Below are 22291 nucleotides of genomic sequence, written 5' to 3'. Positions count from 1 at the left end.
GCAGGTGTTGGCGGCATGGCCGGGGTGTGGAGACATAGGTGCCAGCGGTGTGGCTGGGGTGTGGAGGTGCAGGTGCTGGTGGCGTGGCCGGGGTGTGGAGGTGCAGGTGCCGGCAGCACGACCAGGGTGTGGAGACACAGGTGCCGGTGGTGTGGCTGGGGTGTGGAGGTGCAGGTGCTGGAGGTGTGGCTGGGGTGTGGAGACGCAGGTGCCGGCGGTGTGGCTGGGGTGTGGAGGTGCAGGTGCCAGTGGCATGGCTGGGGTGTGGAGTGTGGTGCTGAGCTGGGGTGGGAAGAGAGGCATGGACCAGTCACCTTGGGATCTGAGACTGCCCCACTGCCTGCTTGCAGAAGAAACACCTCTGTTTTCCCATGCTTGCAGGAAAAACCTGAGCCCCTTCCCAAACGACCTTGCCTTTCTGTGATTTCTGCTCTGGCTTCTCTGCAAAACCTCCCACTCTACTTACCTCCCCATGTTCACTGATGCTGCTCCTGCGTGAGACTCTTATTGTTCCCATTTACGTTGTGCTGTCTCAGGCTCCCGCACTGCATCCGTCTCTCACCTGACTCCATCGTCAGACTGCAGAGGGGAGGCGAGGGCGTTCCTGGCTGGATTTCATGGCTTCACCTTCGGTACTGAAGAAAAGGCCAAGTTCTGGGATTATGCATGCCACTGCTTGACTACTGTCTCCTTGGTTTCTTTGACAGACATTTATCCAGCACCTGCTGTGTACCAGGCTCTGTTCTAGGTGCTGAGTATACAAGAATGGAGAAGTTCACCTAAAATGTTACCATCTTCTCTACAATATCTTACCTCAACAACACACTCTTGTGCCTGGATTGTTGCAATTGCTTCCGAATCAGTTTTTCTGTCTCCACTCTTAATGTCATTCAAGACTTTCTGCACCTGACAGCACAACAGTCCCTCCAAAGTGTCACTCAGCAGCTTAACCCCCCCACACTGCCCTCGGGAGCAGCCCCCCAGTGTCTCACAGGGCTGAGATGATGCCCTCCTTGACTTGAACCTTCATGCTTCTCAGAGAAACGCCTTTCAACTTGGTGCTGTCAGACCCACGTAGACTCTGCTGAAGCACAGCCAGTTCCTCTCAATTCTCGAATGAGCCACCTTCCCTCTCACCTCCAAGTGGCGGCTCACGCTGTTGACTGCCTGCACGATGTTCTCCCTGGCTCTGCAGTTAATTGCCTGTGTATCACTCCTGCACCATGGAGAAGGCAATCAGAAACATCCTTCCTCCTCATGTCTCCAGCGCCTAGGGTAGTGCTTCCTCCCTGGTAGAATTAGAAGTTTTAATTGAATTAATAAATGCCTTACTTAATTACAGTGTATACATTTTGCTGTTTACTTGAGAAAGTTAATGTCTCTAGGCTACTCTGTTCTCATTTTAAAAACAAGACAGTAATACTTGTCTCAAAGAGTTGTTATGATATTTGAAATAAATTACTTTTGTAAAGTAGCCTCAGATAGGCAAGTCAGACAGCCACATAGCAATTGTTCATCCAATGCCAGTTGCCTACCTCCTTCCACAGTGGGAGGCAAAAGGTTATGTGTGTTATTTCTCTCTCTGGAGTGGAACAAGCCCATAGTGAAGGGTTCAAGGAGTGAGCTCTAGCCACGCTGCTGGCCTCAGGAAAATCCCTGTCATCTCCATGCCTGGCATTGTCCTTCCTTCCTCACAGAGGGAGGCAGGAAGAGGATGAAATGCACATGGTCACACTGGGCATTCTCTACAGTGTAAGAGTTCATCACCTGAGTGTTTTGGCCTCTTGAGTAATCTAGAAATATAGGTTTTAAATCAATTGCGTCATTGCTTTTTCTTCCAAATCATAAATAAAATGGTCAGTGTAGCCCACCTCCCCCAGTACCATTGCCGTTTCCCTATGATCATGATGTCTACTTCCAGCACCATGGCCAGTTCCAGTTCAACATGCATGACGCCGAGATGATTTTAAACACAATTATACTCAGCTTCACGGAAACTCTGAAACATCCTGTAACTCACCCTTCATGAGAGTCTGCGTTCATTTGTTGTTATCCCTTTGCTTAAGGCTGTTTGGGGGATACTTCATTCATCCAGCCCCAGGCATGGGAAGGCGCTGTACTCAAACCCACACAAATTTTGCAGATAACTACAGCTGATCAATTTGATCGGCAAAACTTAAACACACAAAAATCATTTTGAATGTTGAATTAAAATATTTCTAAAATGGATAGCACACTGTCTCACCTACATTATATGAGAAACGTAGTGTAATTACTTATTGATGATATCACATATATATCAATTATTCCATCCTATAAAACAGAGTTACTCTTGGTAGCTGTGGAGCTGTATTACACGGTTTCTCCATGCACCAAATGACCTAAACATCTAATGATTTTTGAGTTTCATTGGAGTTTATTTTTCTTCTCTTATGGCAAGCCGTTGGCAGTTTTTGCAAGATAGGTTGATGGGTGGTTTATTTTCTTCTAATTCTTTTTCTGAATTTTAAATAAAAATATATAGTTAATGCTCATTTATTTAGTGGAAAGTATTTATTTTAAGTGAAGTAAGTTCTGATAGAGGTACAGATCACATACATCTGGAAAACAGTGAGAGGAATTATTATTTTGGTGCTGGGATTGAGGGCCTCTGGGGAAAGGCATGGGTCAGGACTAACTTCCTTAGTGAACTCGTCCCTTAAAAGATGGCAACAATGTTGATAGACGAAAAATCTAGGGGCGAATTCTTCTAAGAGAAATAATGTGATTCAAGCTGCAGGGCCACATTCAGTGTGTCCCAGAAGACAAATGTCCCAACCCTGGCTCTGCCTAGCAGCTGTGTGCCCTTGGGCAGGACCCACCTGCCTCATTTGTAAATTGCAGCCAACACTGACAGGCTCCTCATGTCACTATGAGGCTGCCCAGATCGGAGAAAGAGCCCCAATTATTCAGGACTCTTTCATGAGAGACCTGAAGACCTGGCATATTTTCATTACAGCGTGTTTCCTAGGAGTTACCCGCAAACACAGATTGTTTTAAGGCTCAGGAATACTGCAGGTGCATGTGATGTTGAGGCTGGAGGATCCTTTATTTTGTTTCCTTGGGTCCTTAAGATTTCAAAGGTATAACTTTTCATATGTCCAGTGACCAGAGGGAGAGGTTCTCCTCACGAAGGCATTTGTATCTAACCTACTCATTACATTCTCGCTGCAAACATTAGTCTCATATTTGACAAGGTTGCAGGTCAGGGCTGGCATTCCGGGCTCAGAGACTCCACATAGCAGCAGCTCTTCCGTCAGAGGAGGGCATGGCAGGGGCTGAGGCAGGACTGCCCAACCTTTGAAAAAGGGCCACAGCGACAGGCATGAAGAGCAGCCGGATGCCAGATGCTGCCACGTGGAAGCACAGAAGAAAAAGAACTGGCAGGTCAGGAAACTCCAGGTAAAAAGAGACATCTTGCAGAGGAGTGTGGAAGCTGTGGAGCCTCCCTCCCAGGGGAGTTCTGCCAGTTCCCACAGTTACCACCACGCACACCCCAGGAGGGCCCGGCTGCTCGCTTGAAATCCCATGTTCTTGGTTCTCCTGTATCATAGAGGTGACAGGGTGACATTTTAAAAATCCTTCACAAATCCTAACGAGAAACTAGGAGGGAAAGATTATAGGTTAAAAATAGCCAGTTTCCATAGTGCTGGGGCTTGTGCCCTATGCTGACTGCACTTCCAAAGGTCGCTGCAGCTCCTGGCCGGACCTAGGGGATCTCTGTCATCTTGTGTCCCCTGCTGTCTGTGGAAACTGGCCTCCTTTCCTTCCACTCCCCACCTGCCCAGGTCTTCCTGGCATTTCAGGGCTGTGGACTCCCCCTTCTTGGGGATAAATTCCGCAGGTGCCCAGGCTGCCCACTTCTGCTTGGCCCCGCAGAGAGGCACTGGCTTGAGATGGAGGTGGGGAGGTGAGGGAAGCCGGCATCCTCCCTCTTCTCCTGCCCTGGACGGTGACTGACAGCTGCTGCTGCTCCCCCCTGTGCCTGCCTGTCACTCAGGTCTCATGGGGTGCTTGTCACCCCCTCTTCTTTCTCCCTTGCCTTGACGTGGTCCTTGCCGCTCATCCCTCGGGGCAGTGGCTCCTCTTGGCCGCCCTTTGGCTCTGGCTTCTCGGCCTCTCCATCCCTCCTGGAACCAGCACCCTGCATGGAGTCCCCTCAGCCTTCCAAGCTCTGTGTGGCGTCTGCTTCTCACTGAACCCTCGTACACATGCGGCATCACCCATGGCTTCCAAACTGTCCTCTTGCCCTCCCTCAAACTGTCCTCTTGTCCTCCCTCAAACTGTCCTCTCGTCCTCCCTCAAACTGTCCTCTCGTCCTCCCTCAAACTGTCCTCTCGTCCTCCCTCAAACTGTCCTCTCGTCCTCCCTCAAACTGTCCTCTCGTCCTCCCTCAAACTGTCCTCTTGTCCTCCCTCAAACTGTCCTCTTGTCCTCCCTCAAACTGTCCTCTTGTCCTCCCTGCTCCTGGGGTGGCCTCATTGTCAATTCGAACTCATGTTTTTCTTCTTCCCCCTCCAGTGAGATCTTCCCGGATTCTTACTCTTGCTTCCAGCTTCTGACCCAAGAGAAGCACCCGGTTCACGAATGATTCCCACCAGTGCCAGCATCGTGCGCTTCCAACTTTCCCAATTTCAGGTCCGTCACTGCAGCAATAAGGAGGGATTCATCGGGTGAAAATATTTCTCTGTGGGGAAAGTGGAATCGTGAAAGTCTTCCCACGTGGGGCTTCAGGCTAACGGTGCACCCCTCCCACAGATGAGCCTGTGCTAGCTCTGGGGCTCTCCCCAAATAGATGCTAGCCACGGAGCCACAAGTTCACTTAACATTCAAAAGAGCATTTGCTGAGCACGTCAGGCAACAGTCTTGGTGACTGGGGTACGTAAGTTTGGGGAAAAAAAAAGACAAAGTTACACTGGTTTACAATCCATTGAGGAAAGACAGAAAATGATAATATTTAAGCTAGCTAAAAAGCATTAGAATTTAAGTTTGGGGGAAATCAAAATAGAGGGTAGAACCGGGTGCAGGGTTTGGAAGTGCCATGGGGTACACAGGGGTCATCTGTATTGCACAGGCCAGAAGGAGTAAGCACCATGGTGTAGGAGTTACTTGAGCAAAGGTGCTTTTAGGAATATGGAGAGAGCATCGCAGGGAGAAGGTGCAGAAGGCACTCCCCTGTGGCCTGAGTGGGGGAAGGTGACCAGGGAGGACGTAGGGATGCAGTCAGGGCAGCATCAGGGATGGGTCAAGTAGAACCCCGCAGTGTGTGATGGACACTCAGCCTTTTATCCACAGTGAACTGGGGCTGTTGGGGAATTGAGGGTGATATTCTGGGATGTGGCACCCTCAGCCCACGTGGGGAACTGGCCGCAGGAGAGGGCAGCTGATGTCCACGCCCTGCTAGGAGCTCCTGGGTCCTCCAGGCGGGGAGACTGGGAAAGGGGCGTGGTGTGGAGGTGGAAAGAAGTGACCCCACATTGGCACAGTCCGTGGGGGAGCCACAGGGGTTCCTGACCAACCGTGACGTGGAGTGTGAGAACCAAGAAGGCCCCACGTCTTCTGAACAATTGTGGGACATCACTCCCGAGGGGCAGATGCTGAAGGAGGAGGATGGTCGTGGAGGGATGTCAGGAGTCCCTTGTGGAAAGCTTTCATTAGAAACATCTGAAGTGTGGAACAAAGAGGATTCCCAAAGCTCAGCCACAACAAGGAAAGTCTCCCCTAGGCCCCAATGCCTGACCATGCCCTGAGAGAGGGGCTGTTCCTCTGCCAGAGGCCCCAGCTTTCTGGGTCAACAAGCCGGGGACTGACAGGGACATGCTGCATACAGAGGTCCCCGCAGCGCATCTGTACCCCTCCCTCCTCGGTGGGCATCTGTGGTGAGGGAGGGTCACAGGTACAGACACAGCAGCCAGACCCACTGCACTCTGAGGCTGCTCCCACTGCTGGGGCTGCCTTAACAGAGGGGTGGGGACGGTGGTGATGATAATACGGAGGTTTACAGAAATCTTAAATTCTTACCTGGACTGGGGTTAACACCTGAACTCTCTCTCTCTCTCTCTCTCTCTCTGTGTGTGTGTGTGTGTGTGTGTGTGTGTGTGTGTGTGTGGGTAAGGATGGTATTTAGTTCTCACTTTCCGGGGAAGACTGTCCCACTCCAAACACAAATGAAAATCTGATTCTGCTATTCATCTTCGAAGGCTGATATAAAATACTTTCTCCTGAATTAATGATTCCTTGTTTCCTTCAGTTCCTTCAGGCTAATGTTCAGATTGTAGTGGTTATTTCATGAAACCATATCAGAGCTATTACTTTCTCATTAGATTATGAACACCTTGGGAACAGGGATCGTGTGAATTCAACCTCCATGCCTCGCATCATTCCAAGCACAGTCCCTGGCACATCATTGATATTTGGTCAATGAGCAGATGGATTGTGCAATAAACAAACACACCAGAGTGGAAATCTGTGGTCGCTGTGGTTTTCAAAGTTGGGCAATGGGCTTGGAGTAATGCTGCAGGACAGCTTCTTATGCCGATGGCAGTGCGAGGAAATTTCAGCAAATCCCATCTGAAGACGTATTCTCTGCTGGCCATTCCTGTTCTGCCGCAACACTGCTATCCCCAGGTTTCCCATGTTTTCCCTGATTTGACAGCCTAAGGGCTACTCTACTCGACAGAACACCTTCCCCAGGACCCCTTCCCCAAGACCCTTTCCCCAGGCTTCCACGGCCACCCAGTTGGGTTCAGCCAACGATCAACACCACAGGAGGACTGGGGATGGGAGAAGCGAGGTCTTGCTATTTTTTCATCATCTCCTGCTGGTTGGGCGGATGCCCCCATGACTCCAGCTCCCACCAGGTGGGCCTCCCCAAGGCTCCAGCTGCACAGGCCTTGCTTTTGCCTTCGGATCTGAAGAGTGGAGCCCTGCTCCTGCGAGTCTCCGTGCTTCAACATCTCCCGTTGGCTTCCTTGACTCTGCCATGTTCTGGTTATTAAAGCCTTTGGAGCATCCTGGGTTAGTTGTGTTTATTTCTGGAAACTGGAAACCATTTGTGCATGGAGTGTTGAGGATTCCCAGATTCTCCACAGACCTGGTGGCCAGTTAACTATGCATCTGTTTTGAATGATGCCTCTGTCTCCCTGGCTCTAGATCCTGATTTGGCCACAGATGCCGTGGGTGTGTAGCACGTGCGTGTGCAGAGTGGGTCTTTTAGAAATCAGACTTGATAACTAGTTTGTGGAGCCCACTGCATAGGTGGTGAGTCCCTGGGGTAAGAGCACCCAGGAAGTCACCTTGCTTTTTGCTTCTGGGTCCTTCCAGATCCAGCTTTCCTCTGGTCTCCACCCAGTTGGTGAGTGTCAGAGACACCTCCCCTACGGAGAGATGCGGGTCCCCCCTTTCTCATCATCCTCCAAGTCTCTGCTCCACACCAGTCTGTGCTGTGTGTCTGCAAGGTTCTCTGGGCGAGGGCCCTCCCATTCCCTGTTCCTCTATCCCAGCTCAGTTCTCTAAGTATCCACCCAACACAAGGGCAGCGCCCGGGCTCTGCCACCCAAAAGCAGATTGATAATTGTTGTTTAGCCATTCATTGGTGATCCCATAAATATCAATCATTCCATCTTATAAACCAGCGATACCCTTAATAGCTATGCAACTGGGTTAGGCCATTTTCCCTTCTGTAAATGGCCTGGACGTCTTATGATCTCTGAGTTTCAATGGGGTTTATCACTCTTCTCTCATGAGAAGCCAATGGCAGTTTTTGCAAGGTAGGTTGATGGGTGATTTGTTTTCTTCTTTCTACTTTTGTGATTTCTTAAATGAAAAAATATGTAGTTCACACTCATGTTATTATTGGAAAATATTTATTTTAAATGAAATAAGTACTAATCGAGGTACAGGCTAGCATCCTCCTGGAAGATGGGGCAAGGAAGGGTCTTGGTGGTGGAATAGAGCTCAGAGCACCGGGCGTGTGTGTGAGGTGGCGAGAGACAGCTGGACATGGGAATGGCCAGGAGGTATTGTCTACGGACTGGGCACCAGGCACAGGTGCTTTGGAGGTAGAGAAGAGGGGCCCGTCCGGTGTTCTAGGAAGGCCTTCTAGAAGGGATAATGCTTGAACTAAGCCCGTAAAGAACAGGGCTTAGCCCAGGCGGAAGCCAGGAACCAGTGCTCTGGACAGAGGGGAAATGTTGATGAAGTGTGTCATACACAGGATTTCACCAGCGATCTGGTATTTCCAGGTCAAACGTGAAGTGGGAAGAAGGAAGATGGGTCTGGAGGAGGAGAGAAGGCCGTGGCTGTTCCTAAGGTGAAGGGGGTTAGAAGCTAAGATCTTCCATCATGGGAGGCCAAGAACAATTTCAGCAGGGGTTTAGCTGCCACTTGAACAGAGCACAGGAGAGGCATGGGGAAGGGTAATTTAAAGGAAAGGGGTCTGGAAGAAGAGAGGCTTATTAGAGATTATTTTTAGGATCTCTGTTTACTTCATCTTCCAAATTAGGACGCCCTTGTTCCTGAGAAAGGGCACTGCTGATGGTTCTGCCAGGACAACAGTCATACACTTGGGTTTTACCAAAGGAAAACAAAGATGTGTGGAAACCCAAGCGGCTGCAGTAGCGGGAGATGTTGGCAGAACAGCAGCTGGAGGACGTGTGGGGAAGGAGAGTGGAGTCATTAGCAGTGATGACCGACCAGGTGCGGGCAGTGTGAGAGGCAGGGACCACAGGAGGACGCAACTTCCGACCTGGCTGAAGCAGGGGGCATGAGGCTCAGCTGCTGTGGGGGCTGACAGCATGGAGCCCAGGAGCCTCCAGAGCCGGAGCCCGGAGGCATTGTCTGGGTGAGTGATGGAGACTCAGGGGCAGCCAGCGTGGAGGTGGGGCTAAGCCAAGGAGAGGAGAGAGTGAGCAGAGGGGGCACATTGTGGGCAGGAGCCACTCAGAGACCCCCAGAGTGTGCACAGAGGAAGAAGGAGCAGAGCAGGAGGCCCGGGAGAAAGCAATGCCCTGCACAGTCCCTGCCGGCTGGGAGACCCACAAATCCCAGTCTCAAAGAGATGACAAGCTCTAGAGAATTATCTAATCATATAAAGTCATTTGAAACTACTCAGAGGCCGTATCCGAGCCTTCCAGAGCAACAGGATGCATTTATAACCCATCAAACACTCCCTAGGATTTCCGTTCCCAAATTCCTGATTCCTTCTGATTCCAGAGGCCATCTTAGGCATCTCAGTCCTCAAACCCCTAAAATTCCCTTCCTGCATCTCCTGGGCCACACTTCCCTTCCTCAGTTACCCTCTAGTGTGAGGAACCTGCCACCCTGTCCCCCACCACACACATACACACCAGTACATAAGTTCCTTTTTATGTAGGAGGAAGATAATTGGATGAAGGATATTGGATGAAGGATCATAGAATTCTCTTGAAAAGTCCAGGGAATAGTATTTGGTTAATTTGGTTTGTTATGCATAGGAGACAAGGAAATACATACTTCTAAAGATAGAGGGAGAATTCAACAATGTCCAGAGTGTCAGGAAGTCCCCAGAGTCTACTGGGTTTCACACTTGTGGGATCAGAGGTGGCTTTTTCACGGCGTTTGGGTGACGTGTGTAGGGGTGGGCTCAGAAGCCCAACTGAAAACAGAGACATGGAATGGCTGCTAGAAATGACAGGATTCTAGCTGCAGGGGGTGTTGGTGGTTCTGTTTGTATGTTTGTACAATGAGAAAGACAAATACCTGATTCTAGGATGGCAGACCAGAGCTCATAGAGAGGGATGGTTTAGAGACAGGGATCTCAATCACATTCAAGCCCCTTTTTTGCTAAAAACATAATCTTCTGTTTTCTGTCTCAAGGGAGATCACAAGTCCCTGAGCTGTACAGAACGCTCCGTCCACAGGACAGGGTCTTCCCTGCTCCATTCGAGTGGGACACGTTGTTGGCTGCCCACTCCTCAATGTCCGTGACGCAGGTTCCAACAAAAAATTCCAATAGACCACGTGGAAGGTCTTTTAAAAACTTATCTGGCCGGGCACGGTGGCTCACGCCTGTAATCCCAGCATTTTGGGAGGCCCAGGAGGGTGGATTACCTGAGGTCAGGAGTTCAAGACCAGACTGGCCAACATGGTGAAACCCCGTCTCTACTAAAAATACAAAAATTAGCCAGGGGTGGTGGCACACCCCTGTAATCCCAGCTACTTGGGAGGCTGAGGCAGGAGAATTGCTTGAGCCCAGGAGGCAGAGGTTGCAGTGAGAGAGACTGTGCAACTGCACTCTAGCCTGGCCAACAGAGCGAGACTCTGTCTCAAAAAAAAAAAAATTATTTGATAAGAACTGTCATCTCTTTCCCTCTCCCAAGGAGGTAGTGGCCATTTGCTGATGGGGAATTTTACTCTGATTGAACTTCCTTATGTGGGTAAATGGGTGGGGTGCCTCAAGGATAGCGGCATTCACATCAGAAGGAAAAAACTATTTCCCAACTCCTCTCCTCTTTGGTCCCTGCCAGTACTGTCTTCACTGACTAACAAGACAGAACGGATCATCTTCCAATAGCAGCCCTCTGCTTGTTCCCAAATTCTATTTGAATATCTCAAGCATGACTCTGGGGAAACGTACAGTTGCTTCCAGCCAGGAGGGGGAATCCACAGCAAATCCTATTCTACACTGGCCTCTGGATTTGAGATGCCTGCGTGTCAAGCAAAGTCCACCGTGGTGGCAGAGAACACCCAAGGCCTCCCTGACATAGATGGTGGCTGAGCCCCTCCCTGCTCCCACCAGAGACACAGGAGAGACAGGCAGGAAAGAGAAGGTCTCTGACCCGCTTCTGGGGGCAAAGGAGCCGCCCAGATTGCTGGACAAGCACGCGGGTGTGCAGGTGTGCAGGCTGGGTGCATCAGCTCCGCCACAGGGAGGGGAGACGCTTTTGCCTCCAGAGCCAGCAGCAGAGCCGGGTCCTTCACTTCACAGTGGGCTCGAGGCTGCTCTGGCCAAATGCTGCAGGAAGCGGACAGAGAAATGGAGCCCCAGTGCTGAGGATGCCTGTTCCTGACTGAGCACGTCCTGGAGTGGGGGGACCTCGGGAGGCAACGAAGAGACAAGGAAGATGCTGCTGTGCTGAGAGGAAGCCCAGATGCTTGTCGGTTCATCCGAGGGACTCAGGGTGTCCTGCTCTGGTGTCTTGTCAACCCTCATCACCCTGAGGGTGACACCGAGGCTCTCGAAGGGGACGGGACCTGCCCATGAGTCACAGCCCACCTCGTGTTTCCCACATCCAGCTGCCTGCTCTGTGCTAAGCACCTCCTTGTGTCCATCAGGGCCTAAGGGCCACAGACAACACAGAGGTTACGACTCTTAAGGGGCGTTTCATCCAGGGTCTACAATACTGAGGCGGGTGGAGGGACCTCAGGCGATGGCGATGGTGGTTCACCAACCACAGGGCTAGTGGGCAGGCATTGGTCGCCGCTGCCTGGCCTGGGGCACAGCCAGAGGGACGGGGTATCAGGACCAGAGCTTCGTGAGCGGGGGCTGCCTTGAGTGGAGCAGTGACCTTGACGTGAGAAACAGACCTTGGTGTGATGGACCCAGGGGCACGACTACCTCTCCTCACTCTTCTTTCTCCCCACTCTCCTTCCAGGGCTCCCTGTTGGCCAGAGCCAACCAGAAGGAGGAGAGCAAGAAGCCACGGACACTGTCAGCGTCCATGCCACAACCTCACAGGCATGGCCAGGGGGAGCGGTGGGTGGCCCAGCCTGCGAGAGAAGCAGACCCTGCTCAGCCCACCCCTGAGATCACGCAGCCGGCACCGGCGCACTCTGGGGGGACTCTGGGCCCTGCTCTCACCTCGTGAGTCTGAACAAGTCACCTCTTCTCTCTACGCTTTAAACGCTGCATCTGTACGGCAGAGATAAAACTGCAGCTCCTCCACGGGGCTTCCGTGAGGGTTAATGAAGTAACACACGCACGGCAGCTGACATGCAGCAAGGGCTCAGCCACCGTGAGCTTCTCAGCCTCCCCGGGGCTGCAGACCCAGCACCTGGGGCCTCACCTTCCCAGAGACTGGCCCAGGTGGTAAAGCGGCAGCGCGAACTTCCTAGGAGTGAGGGACGAGGGTGAACAAAGGGCATGGGAGGGAACAAGGGCATATTTCCTACCCCTTAAATTCAAGCAGCTCTTCGAGGTCCCAAGAGCACTTTCAGCTGAATGCACATGGATGCCGTGAGGCCGCTGGAGACGGTGCGTTGTCTGAATGGTGCGGAGAGAGCTCCCGAGGCTCACAAAGGCTGGGCGATGTGCCCAAGGCCGTATGGCTTGTTACCCGCGGTGCAGCCATCAGTCCTGGATCTGATTCCAGATTCTGAGTATCTGCCGTGCACATGTGTGTGTACGCGGCCTGAAGCAGGCATATCTGCCTATGCTAATGCATGCACTTTACACACACAGAGCCTGGGTGCATGTGTCTCTGTGCTCAGTCTCCCCACAGGTACGGCAGCCCCCCTGAGGGCAGGCATTGTGCCTGATGCACCTTTGTCTCCAGCAGCACACAGTCAGGGCTCAGCCCACGTGTGGGCCAGTGCAGCGTTTTCTCCAGAGCCTGCTCCAGGAAGAGGAGGAAATCTTCTCTCTGACTACTGGGAACTTAACAGGAAGAGGAGGGACAAGTGTGCTCCTATCTGCCTACTTGTTCTCCCTCCATGCTGAGGTTTTTCTACCTCCACATGATTAAAAAACGGCAAATAAGTTAGCATATGAAAATATGTAGCAAGGGTGAAAATGGCCCTGCGGGAGGTCACAGCCATAGTGACAGTGTTCCAGGCTTCCAGGTGTACCTGCCACACCGGGCCGAGTGGAAAGAAGGCCTTCCCAGAAGGGCGCCATCTCAGTGTTGGCAAGGCCAAGGCTCCTACATGACTTTCTTTCCAGAATCGGTGTAACAGTCCCATAAAGGATGCTTCAGTTTTCCAGCAATCTCCTCTCCTGGGTGTGGGCACTGCTGGCAAGCAAATCAATTGGTCCCACAGCTCTGCCATCCAAGACACAGAGCTGAGCTGACATCCTCCAGAGAACCCCAGAGACTCACACCTGGGCACCTGGGCCCGTTCAACACGGAGCAACAGGCAGGCACTGAGCGTGCTGTCAGCTGAGCAGTGAAAAGGGACGAGCTGCTATGTCAAAAATGACACGCCGGCTTCTGCTGGTCTTGCAAAAGAGCTCTGCAGTGATGTGACTGCAGCTGACATCCCGCAACAGCAGCGGCTGGTTTCTGTGCTGGATTGAAATTCATCCAGCTCCCTGTGTTCACAGCGATGACTTCCAATGCTAATTCTCAGCGAGCAGGGCATGAAATATATTCACAGGCGCTGCTTGGTGAGGGCCCTTTGGAGTTATTTGAGGTACCTGTGATGAAAACATCTGTGCCACTTGCTTTTGTGCATTTTTGTTCCCTTGGTTTCAATTATGCAAAGAATCTTTGGGCAAGAGAAAGAGAGAGGGGGAGAGAGAGAGTTTGCTGATGTAGTCTTTTTCCTTTTTGATAAGAGTGAGTGCCTGGTCTGATGCCTGAACAGGGGAAGCATAAGAAGAGAGAGGCAGACTTTCATCTTCCGCAAAGACACAGGGACGTGCTCTGCCTCATGCAAATGAGCTGTTCTAAAAGCGTCCCTGTGTCCTGCTGAGCCGCCTGGGCTCCCTTAGCCCTTCTCTCCACAGGACAAATAAAGGGTGAGTTTACTGAGTTCATGTCTGTGAACATAAGTAATTGAGGGGGATGCTGGCAGCAGCGAGGGTGGGTGGATGACGCAGTGGAGGAAGCCCACCACCCAGGGCTGTGGGCACGTGTGTGCTGTGCGATTTCCACCTAATGCCTTTCTTTCTGGCACTGCAGCCTGGAAGAGCCTCTTGTCTTCACTGAAGGTCTACCCATTTGTTCTCTCCTGAAGAATGTGGCCCAAGCATGGGGTCTACAAGAGGTGACCAGAGATTCAAGACTCGAGAAGGGCCAGGGTCCCCTCGAGGCAGAGATGAGCTTGGAATCCAGGTCTTCTGATCTCACAGGGACTGTGGTTGGGTAAAGTCCCTGGGAGCTGCTTTTTCTAGGGCTGACCGAGATCCCATCCCAGGGTCGCCGGTGTGGGGCGCGATGGACACCTTGCCCGTCTGCAGTCTTTTCTCATCTACCCTGAGCTCTCAAATCTAGTCGCTAATGGTTTCACAGGAAGCATGTATTGATCCCTGGACTGCCTGAGCCATCTCAGCAGTGGTGAGAGACACAGGAAGAGTCTGCTTCCTATTATTCTGGAAGCAGGAGCCACAGGCAGGGGCAGCACAGTCATGGGCTCCTCTGAGTTCTCGGTGTCTGTGTGTGGTCCCTCGACGTGGAGCAGGGGCTCCCAGGAGGCCTGGTCACTGGGGGCGAGGACAGCACTGCCCGCACTGGGAGGGAGGAGAGGCTGAGCGCTTCACCCTGACACTCAGGCACAGTCTCCAAACCCATGCTGCCCCCACACCATGAGCGCCCCAATCAAGCACCATCTCCTGAACTGGGATTTGTGTGGGAATCTGCTCTCTTCTCTGCACATGCGTTCTCTTCTCTGCACGGCTGGGTGGCTCCCTGGTGCCCTCACATGCCTGCACCCAGATCAGCTCTCCCTCTCCACCCTCCTCAGTGACCACGAACTCCTTGTCTTCTGGTTTCTGACCCAGTTGAACCAGTGGGCGGCACTATGAGATCAAAGCTCAGAGGCTGTGTGGGTGGAGTTTGTGCCTCCTGCCCCCCTGCAGGTTTTCCACAAGCGGATGGGGTCCTTCACCTGTGGCCCCAGCCCCTCAGCCAAGTTCCTGATAAAGTTCCTTGTCGGTTTGCCACAGCTGCTGTAACAGATTCCCACGATCTAAGTGGGCGCAGAGCCACCTATGGCGCAAGTCACTGCTGGGATGGAAGGTCCTGGCAGCCAGGTGTCCGTGGCAGCAGGGCCGTGCTCCTTTGGAGCCCACGGGGGATTCTTTACCTTTTTCTGATCTGAGGCACCAGCCAGAGTCCTCGGCCCAGGCCCCTTCCTCTCCCTTGACGGCTCACCAGGAGCACCTTCAGCCTCTGTCTGGCCTCGGCCTTTGCCCTCTCACTCCTTCTCTGACTCCTGCAGGGACCTGAGTGATTGCCTTGGACCCCCTGGATAATCCAGAATAATCTCCTCAATCCCCAAATTCTTAATTTAATCACATGTGCGAGTCTCTTTGCCAGTGAGGTGATGTATGACAGGTCCCTGGGCAGGGCACCACTGGCATCGTCTGTGAGTCTCTTTGCCAGTGAGGTGATGTATGACAGGTCCCTGGGCAGGGCATGGGCACCACTGGCGTCCATGGTTCTGTCTGCCCAGGCTCCCTCCCTCCACGGCTGCCACTGGTGGGTGCCTCACTGCCCTGTGGCTTCCTGCTCTCTGCTGAGCCTTCAGAGAGACAGAGAGATGCCCATCGTTAAAGGCATCTCCAGCGATGTGTTTCTGCTGGCTCCTCTGCATGACCCATCTGGGCTCCCCACACTGGCCTCTCCTCTGAGCTCAGGTCGACAGCCCTGAGCTGCCTGCACCCCTTCTCCTTTTTCCCATCCAACAAGGCTGCTGTTGAAGAGTGGGAGGGTGGTAGGGAGATCCCTGCTGGAGGATGGACCCGGCAGGGAAGGAGAATGTCCCCTTGGCTCTCTGAGGCCCTCAGGCCGTGCAACTCTGACCTGCACACGTGCTTTCTGTGCTGCAAACCGTCACCCACTCAGGACAGTTTCCTTCAGCAGTTCCGGAGACTGTGGACAGCAGGCCCCCAGCTGGCCCACCTTGTATCCCCTGTGCCCTGCACTGAGCCGGTGCTGAGGTCGACGCCTACTGGTGAGGCTCACACCAGGCCTTCCCTGAGCCTCCTTTTTTGTGGCTCGCATTGCATTTTGATGAAATTATTTATTTAGCCATTGCTGCATTTTCTTCTATGGTATCTGTGTACCAAGTTCTCTCTCCTTAGACCAGGAGCCGTGTGCAGCAGGCCTGGGAGGTGCCCCAGTGGCTGCGGAGGAGACCAGGGGACAGCACAAAGGTGGCTGTGTTGACCCCCACCCCCCCCCACCGCCATGTTGTGAAAGCACCCTTCCTCCAGGGCGTTTACCCTCATGGGCCTCTTCCTTCCTCCTCTGCCCTCAGGGCCTGCCTGTTCTGCTGCTGCCGCCCTCTGATAACACAGAAATAGGGCACCCAGCTAAGAAACCAGCAGCTTACAGCTAGTAAGGACAAGCTTTGTACTAGAAAAGAAAAAAAAAGAAAGAGGGAAATTTTCATCATAAAGACCTAGACTGTAAATGGAGGAATTTCAGGCCCAAAGCAAATAAAATGTGGAAGTGACAGGCCAGTCCCCACCCTCAGGCTCTGTCTGACTCCACAGTCAGAATGCCCTGCATCCGCCTCCCTCCCTCCAGGCCTCAGTGGGCTCAGGTGGAACGTGAGGACGGAGTGCATAGTGTGGGTTCCGACAGTCCAGATCCCTCCCACCCCACCGCTTCTCACAAGGATGCAAAGACCCCAGCATGTCTGAGAGCCCCGTTTCCACTCGGCTCAAGAGGGGTCTGGCAGGGTCACGGGAAGAGCCCAGCCTTGCTGGAATCTGCTGGTCCTGGATGAACAATCACCCCAGCAGCTCACTTGCCTTCTCTGTCCTCCAGTTCCCTAATCTGTAACATGGTTATTAATACCCAACTCGCAAGGTTTTCTTAGGAAGGATGCTCAGGACAGTGCCCGGCATGTAGCCCTTACTCAACAATGTGGTTTGCTTTATTTTCACTAGTGTCTTGCTTCCGTCTTGTTCCTAGGACAGAGTTATCCACAAAGAAGAAGTGAGATCCCAGGGAGGGAAGGAGGAATGAGGGGAGGAGTGAACGGCAAGCTGTGTGGCCAAGACATCGCTCAGAAATGTCCTTGAGCGCAGGCCCTTCCGAAAGGCATAGAAGCCGGGATCAAACACAATTGCCAACACGATTTTTCAGAGCACATTTTTTGGCAATCAGTATGTGTGTGTATGAGATGGAGACAGGGTGGAGGACGAGTGGGCGTTGGTCTCGGCTTTTCAGAGAGGAGGTGGATCTGGGGAGCCCTTTTCTCTTCTAATTATTTCTGGATGGCTGCTGCATTTTCTCCCCTCCTATCTTAACGGACTCGTGCAAAGTGTCTACAATCGATAGCGGCTCAGGCTGAGAGCTCTTGGAAGGAGCCGGCAGAGCCACTTCAGCTGCCAGGCAGGATGGAGTCTGAGGTATTGGGCAGAGACCCAGGCTGGGGAAGTGGGCAGCCTGCCGCACCCCATGGCTGGTCCCATCCCATCCCATCCCATCCCGTGCTTGCCCGGACCTTGAAAACACAAAGGAATGAACCAGCAGCTCTTACAGGGCCTCTGTGGACCCTCCCGTGCCCTAGTCGGTGTCTCATTTAGTTTCTCAACAACCCTGAAGGGTGGATTTTATCCTCCTCCTCGTGAAGAGCATGGGTGAGGCGCTGTCCTGAGGACAGACCTGGGGTTTGCCATCTCCCGACTGCAGTGGGAGAGGTGGGAGCTCTGCCCGCAGGCATCCACAGGGGAAGGCCACAGGGGCCCTGGGCTCCCACGTGCTGAGTGCCGTTTGTGGCTTGTGAAGTCTAACATCACACCTGCTACCCTTCCAAAGACGAGGTAGACTGAATGCTGTGTTCACTAAATGACAAGATCTCACCCTTGTGGGTTGAGGCTGCAGCCCCCTAGTGCCTGCTGGTTACTCTGCTCCTTTTGGGGCAAAAGGGGTGGAGGTTATGTCAGTCAGTTTTATATCATTTTCTCCAAAACCAGTTTTGTGACCCTGACCACTGTGACTTGAAAGAGGGATTGGGGCCGGAGCCAACAAGAGCCTTCCACAGCAGCCTGAGGAACAGCCATAACCAACCTGGCCAGACTGTGCTTGGGAGGCTGCAGGGAACCAAGCTTGGCTGCATGAGCAGGCACCAGCTCCTACAGAGTGGCTGACCAGGCCTTTCAGTAGAAGCCTTGCCGAATGTGCCTGGTGTACTCTGAAATAGCCAAACTATAATACGGGTCCTCTTCCTTCATAGAGAAACACAATACTCATATCAGCCCAGTTAATCATGAGAAATTGGCAAGGAAATGAAGAAGGTATGCCGCCTCTGTTTTCCAAATTGCAAGGACAGATGTGCTGTTAGCATCCTGCAGGTTTGGTGAAGGATGAATACGACAAAGCCCCTGCCTTCAAGGCGCTCACAGCGGGGAAGCCCACCCAGAGCCCCTGACTCTGCTGCTAGCGCACAGGACAGGGCTCAGAGAGCAGAGAGGGAGGAGGACAGGCCACGCCACTCCCAGGGGCAGCCAGATGACTGCATGGAGAGATGGGATGGGCACCTGCGTGCACGCCTGGGAGCACCGTCACTAATCCCACTGCCCAGAAAACTGCCCCCAGTCACAGAGCGAGCAGCAGAGGCTGAGTGCAGCCGGATTCAGCAGGCTGCAGGATTTGCATCCTGTCTTCCCCCACCGCCCACCACCCTGGACCTTTCCTCTTCATTTAAGGAGGGTGCTTCCTCCAGGCAGGAGAAGGGATGGTGCACACAGGGATGGGCAGGGACTGCCTGCCAGGTGCACATCTTGTTTCCTTATGTTCCCAATAAACGGAGCACCAGAGTAGTAACTGAATGGAAGGGGAGTGTTCTAATCCTATATTTGCTTTAGTAAATCCCATCACTATAAGATATTTATGTAACTCTAAAAAGATGGCACCAACTGCATTTGACACGCCATTGATATTAAAATATATTTTTCAGCGTGTACCTTAGAATTGATGGAACAGCTTATTGGCAGTGTGCTTTTCAAGCAAACTCTGCTGTGCCTTAATTTAGTCATCTGCGACATGGGAGAGACAGTGTCGCCCTACAGGTTGAGAGACATGGTGTCTAGTGATGGTGACTTTGGTTTGTGAACACTGCAAATGTGCCTTTCGGCCCTCCTGCCACTTCGGCCCTCCTGCCACCATCCAGCAGATGGACTGGCCCTTGGAATCAGGGTGGTCCTTTGAGGTGCACCTTCGTGTGGCAAGCACTGGCTCTCATCTGGCCTGGCCCTGTGCGCTGCATCTGGGCCTGCCCTGGTTTCCACGGAAGGGAGATGGGAGGAAATCAACACACCTCTAAGTGCAGCTCAGGATCTGTGCGGTTCAAGCTGCTCCTGGGGCTGGTCTGTCCTAGCATTTGGGCATTGAATAACACAGACAAGAGGCTCTCGCTCCATTAATTATTAATTGTACTTTTTGCATTTCTTAGGACAGCAAAGAGCTGAGCTCTAAGGCGGAAGAAAGGGAGACTGGAAAGGATCAGCAGACAGAGCTGCCCCTGTGCTTGCCCCTGAGGGACTTCCCGGACTCCGCTCCGGTCATGTCCTCAGACTCGGGACATGCGACGGAGTCTCTCCACCTTGCATGTGGGTTTGCGCGTACGGGTGTGGGGAGGCAAAATTTCCAAGTGCACGGTGGGAGGGGGCTGTCCCTATTGGGAAAAAGCAGGAGGCTGGCTCTGGAAAGAGCCTTCTTTGTCTCTGAGCCCAGCCTTGCCCGAGCCACCTGTGCTGTGAACTCTGGAGAAGGTAAAGAGCCAGCCCCGCGTGGGACCTGCAGGCGACGTCCCTGTCAGCTGTGGGGTGGGAAAGTCACTCTCCCTGCTCCCTGCACATGTTCTGGGGATTTTGCCCATGTCAGCTGCTCTTTCTCAGCGGCCCTCTCTCCTGCCAGCCAGCGATTCCAAGCCCCCAATGCCCACACCCAACGAGGGCCCTGGAAGCACCGTGGGACATGCGGGCCCTCCGAGGACAGTGAAGGCTGGTGGGGGTCACCCTTCTCTGAGAGAACCAGAATCCTTTGCTTCCCACACATATTCCCCTATTATCTTCCTAATGTGTTCCTTATTCTGGAGAGGTAGAATTAAAAAATAAGAAGGGGAAAAAGAAAAGAGAAATGTTTTGCCTTAGTTGGACTTCGTTTAAATTGTCTCCTTCCAAGATGCAGAGGAGGGTTCACCATGATCATCATTATTATTAGAGTCTGCTCTAGAGGGGAAGGGGAGGATGGAGGGGAGCCAGCCAGGGCTGGAGCGTTCTCCTGACTGTGACCTTGGCACAGCCTGGCTGTGAAGACAAGGACCAGCCCACAAGTCTAGGCCTGAAGGAGGAAAAAAAGTTGCCTGGCAAGGACCGTACGTCTCAGAGTCTTCCCACATATTTTGCCAGATAGTAAAACTGAGTCCAAAAAGGAAAGTGTCTTGCTCCCAATCTCAAAGCCTGTTAATAACAGGGCAGGATTTTTATAAAGGCTGCAACAAAATCAGCCAAGAGAATGGACCCTAAACTCTGAAGTGGATTATTTATTATTCACAAAACCGTAGGCTTAAAGGCATGCATGCAGATAACCAATTAAAGAGCCTTCGCTGGTGTTTTATCATCCTGCGCTCCCCAGGTGCTGGGGGCCCAGCCAGGAGGGGCTCAGGTCTGCAGTGGCCCTCTCTGACCCAGCCCCTGTTTCGTTCAGCATTGAGGTCTCACACCACTGCCTCTGTCACAGACCTATGTACAGAACCCCAGCTGGCTTTGAGAGGGCTCCAGGTGTCTTTGCCGCGTCTACACCTGGTTGGTGTTATCTATGCAGAACACCAGGTAGGAAATCTGGGTTTCCATCTAAAGTGCTTAACGGTGATTATGTGATCACGGTGCGTCTGATTCATTATCTGATTTTCATCCCCACTCCAGCCGCATGAGATGAGCATTTCTTTTCCTTTTCTTTTTGCTTTTTTCTTTTTTTGAGATGTAGTCTCACTCTGTCACCCAGACTGGAGTGCAGTGGCGTGATCTCAGCTCACTGCAACCTCTGCCTCCTGGGTTCAAACAATTCTCCTGCCTCAGCTTCCTGAGTAGCTGGGATTACAGGCACGCGCCACCACGCCCAGATAATTTTTGCATTTTTAGTAGAGACAAAGTCTCACCATGTTGGCCAGGCTGGTCATGAACTCCTGACCTCAAGTGATCCGCCCTCCTCGGCCTCCCAAAGTGCTGGGATTACAGGTGTGAGCCACTGCGCCTGGCCTGAGACCCGCATTTCTATCTTTGCTTTACAGAGCGGGAAGGTAGAGCTTAGGGAGGCTCTGGGAGTCTCCCCTGTGGCTTGGACTCTGGCTGTGAGATTACACACTGGCCCAGGCCTCTCCCAGGAGCCACACTGCGCAGGTCACTGCTGGTTCAGTCATTCTCATGTCAATTCATTGTCATTTCCTCGTTCTCGGTGTGTGAACTCCCCTTTACATTGCAGAGTAGTGTTATCATGAACCATTTCGCTAACTGTGGACATGGTACTGTTTTTATTTTTAATACCATAAACAGCAGTGTCGCGAACATCCTGGTGAATACAGTTTTCTTCTTGTTTTAGATTATTTAATTAGGAAAAGTTCCCCAAAGTTCCTTGACAGCTATTGCTTCCTGTAAGTATCATTTTATTCCACGTTTACTTTTACCATCAGCGTAAGGCAATGTGTGTGTCGCTGCTCTCCCACTCACTAGTAACAACCTGGATTATTAATCTTTTAAAATTTGATTGCCAAAGGAAAACGAAGCCTCTCCTTTCACCCTCATCACTTGGATCCGTGGTGCACCGGGACAGCGCTCACAGCTCTGTGTGCCCTCTTTATTTCCTCCCCTGGGAGTTATTTGTTCCCAGCAGGAGGCGTCAGCAGCGAGCGGGGGCTGGATGGAGAGCTGCATTCCAGGCCTGGTGTCCCAGGTGACGAGGCCTCCAGCCAGAGCATCTGTCCTTCCTCACAGCCCAGATGTCCTTGAACCCAAGGTCAAGTCCCTGAATCTTCTGCCCATCCTCATTCCTCACCACTGGCCCCTGCAGGTGGTGCAGCGCCCACCTCCTTCCGTGCTCCTGTCCTGAAGCCTGCGTGCCTCCACACAGTCAAAGCTGGGACATCTCCAGTGAATCTATCACTGGCAACACAACCATTTCCTGACTCCTACGGCTTGGTCAAATCCCTCCTTCCACCCCAGGCCTCTGGACTGGAAGGCTGTGGTCATGCTGGTTCTTGCAGCCCTGATGGCTCCCCTCGGGCTCCTGGTGCCACGTTGTGCCTGTCCAAGCCACTCAGCTTCAGGACGAAGAGGTGTTTGCCCTGCTGGCTCCCTGCAAGGTAAGTAAGCGTGTGTCAG

General features: G+C 52.5%; 1 long non-coding RNA gene across 2 annotated transcripts in view, besides 1 other annotated feature; it reads left to right on the top strand.

Annotated features, from left to right (window-relative positions):
• Positions 1-13769, top strand: part of LOC105373390 (uncharacterized) — a 133531-nt gene extending 119762 nt beyond the window's left edge. For both annotated transcript variants that reach the window (NR_187839.1, NR_187838.1), the window contains exons 3-4: positions 4561-4677; positions 11673-13769. This is a non-coding gene — a long non-coding RNA (uncharacterized LOC105373390). The remainder of the gene's footprint in view (positions 1-4560; positions 4678-11672) is intronic.
• Positions 17007-17964: an enhancer, noted in NCBI's record as "H3K4me1 hESC enhancer chr2:2706918-2707875 (GRCh37/hg19 assembly coordinates)". NCBI's record gives its function as "activates a minimal SCP1, AML or CMV promoter by ChIP-STARR-seq in naive H9 embryonic stem cells {active_cell/tissue: H9 hESC(naive)}" and the evidence as "EXISTENCE:reporter gene assay evidence [ECO:0000049][PMID:30033119]".

This window comes from Homo sapiens, chromosome 2 (assembly GCF_000001405.40).
Source record: "Homo sapiens chromosome 2, GRCh38.p14 Primary Assembly".
NCBI lineage: Eukaryota > Metazoa > Chordata > Mammalia > Primates > Hominidae > Homo > Homo sapiens.
The sequence above is the reverse complement of the archived record's forward strand: the minus strand, read 5'-3'. Positions and strand labels throughout refer to the sequence as shown.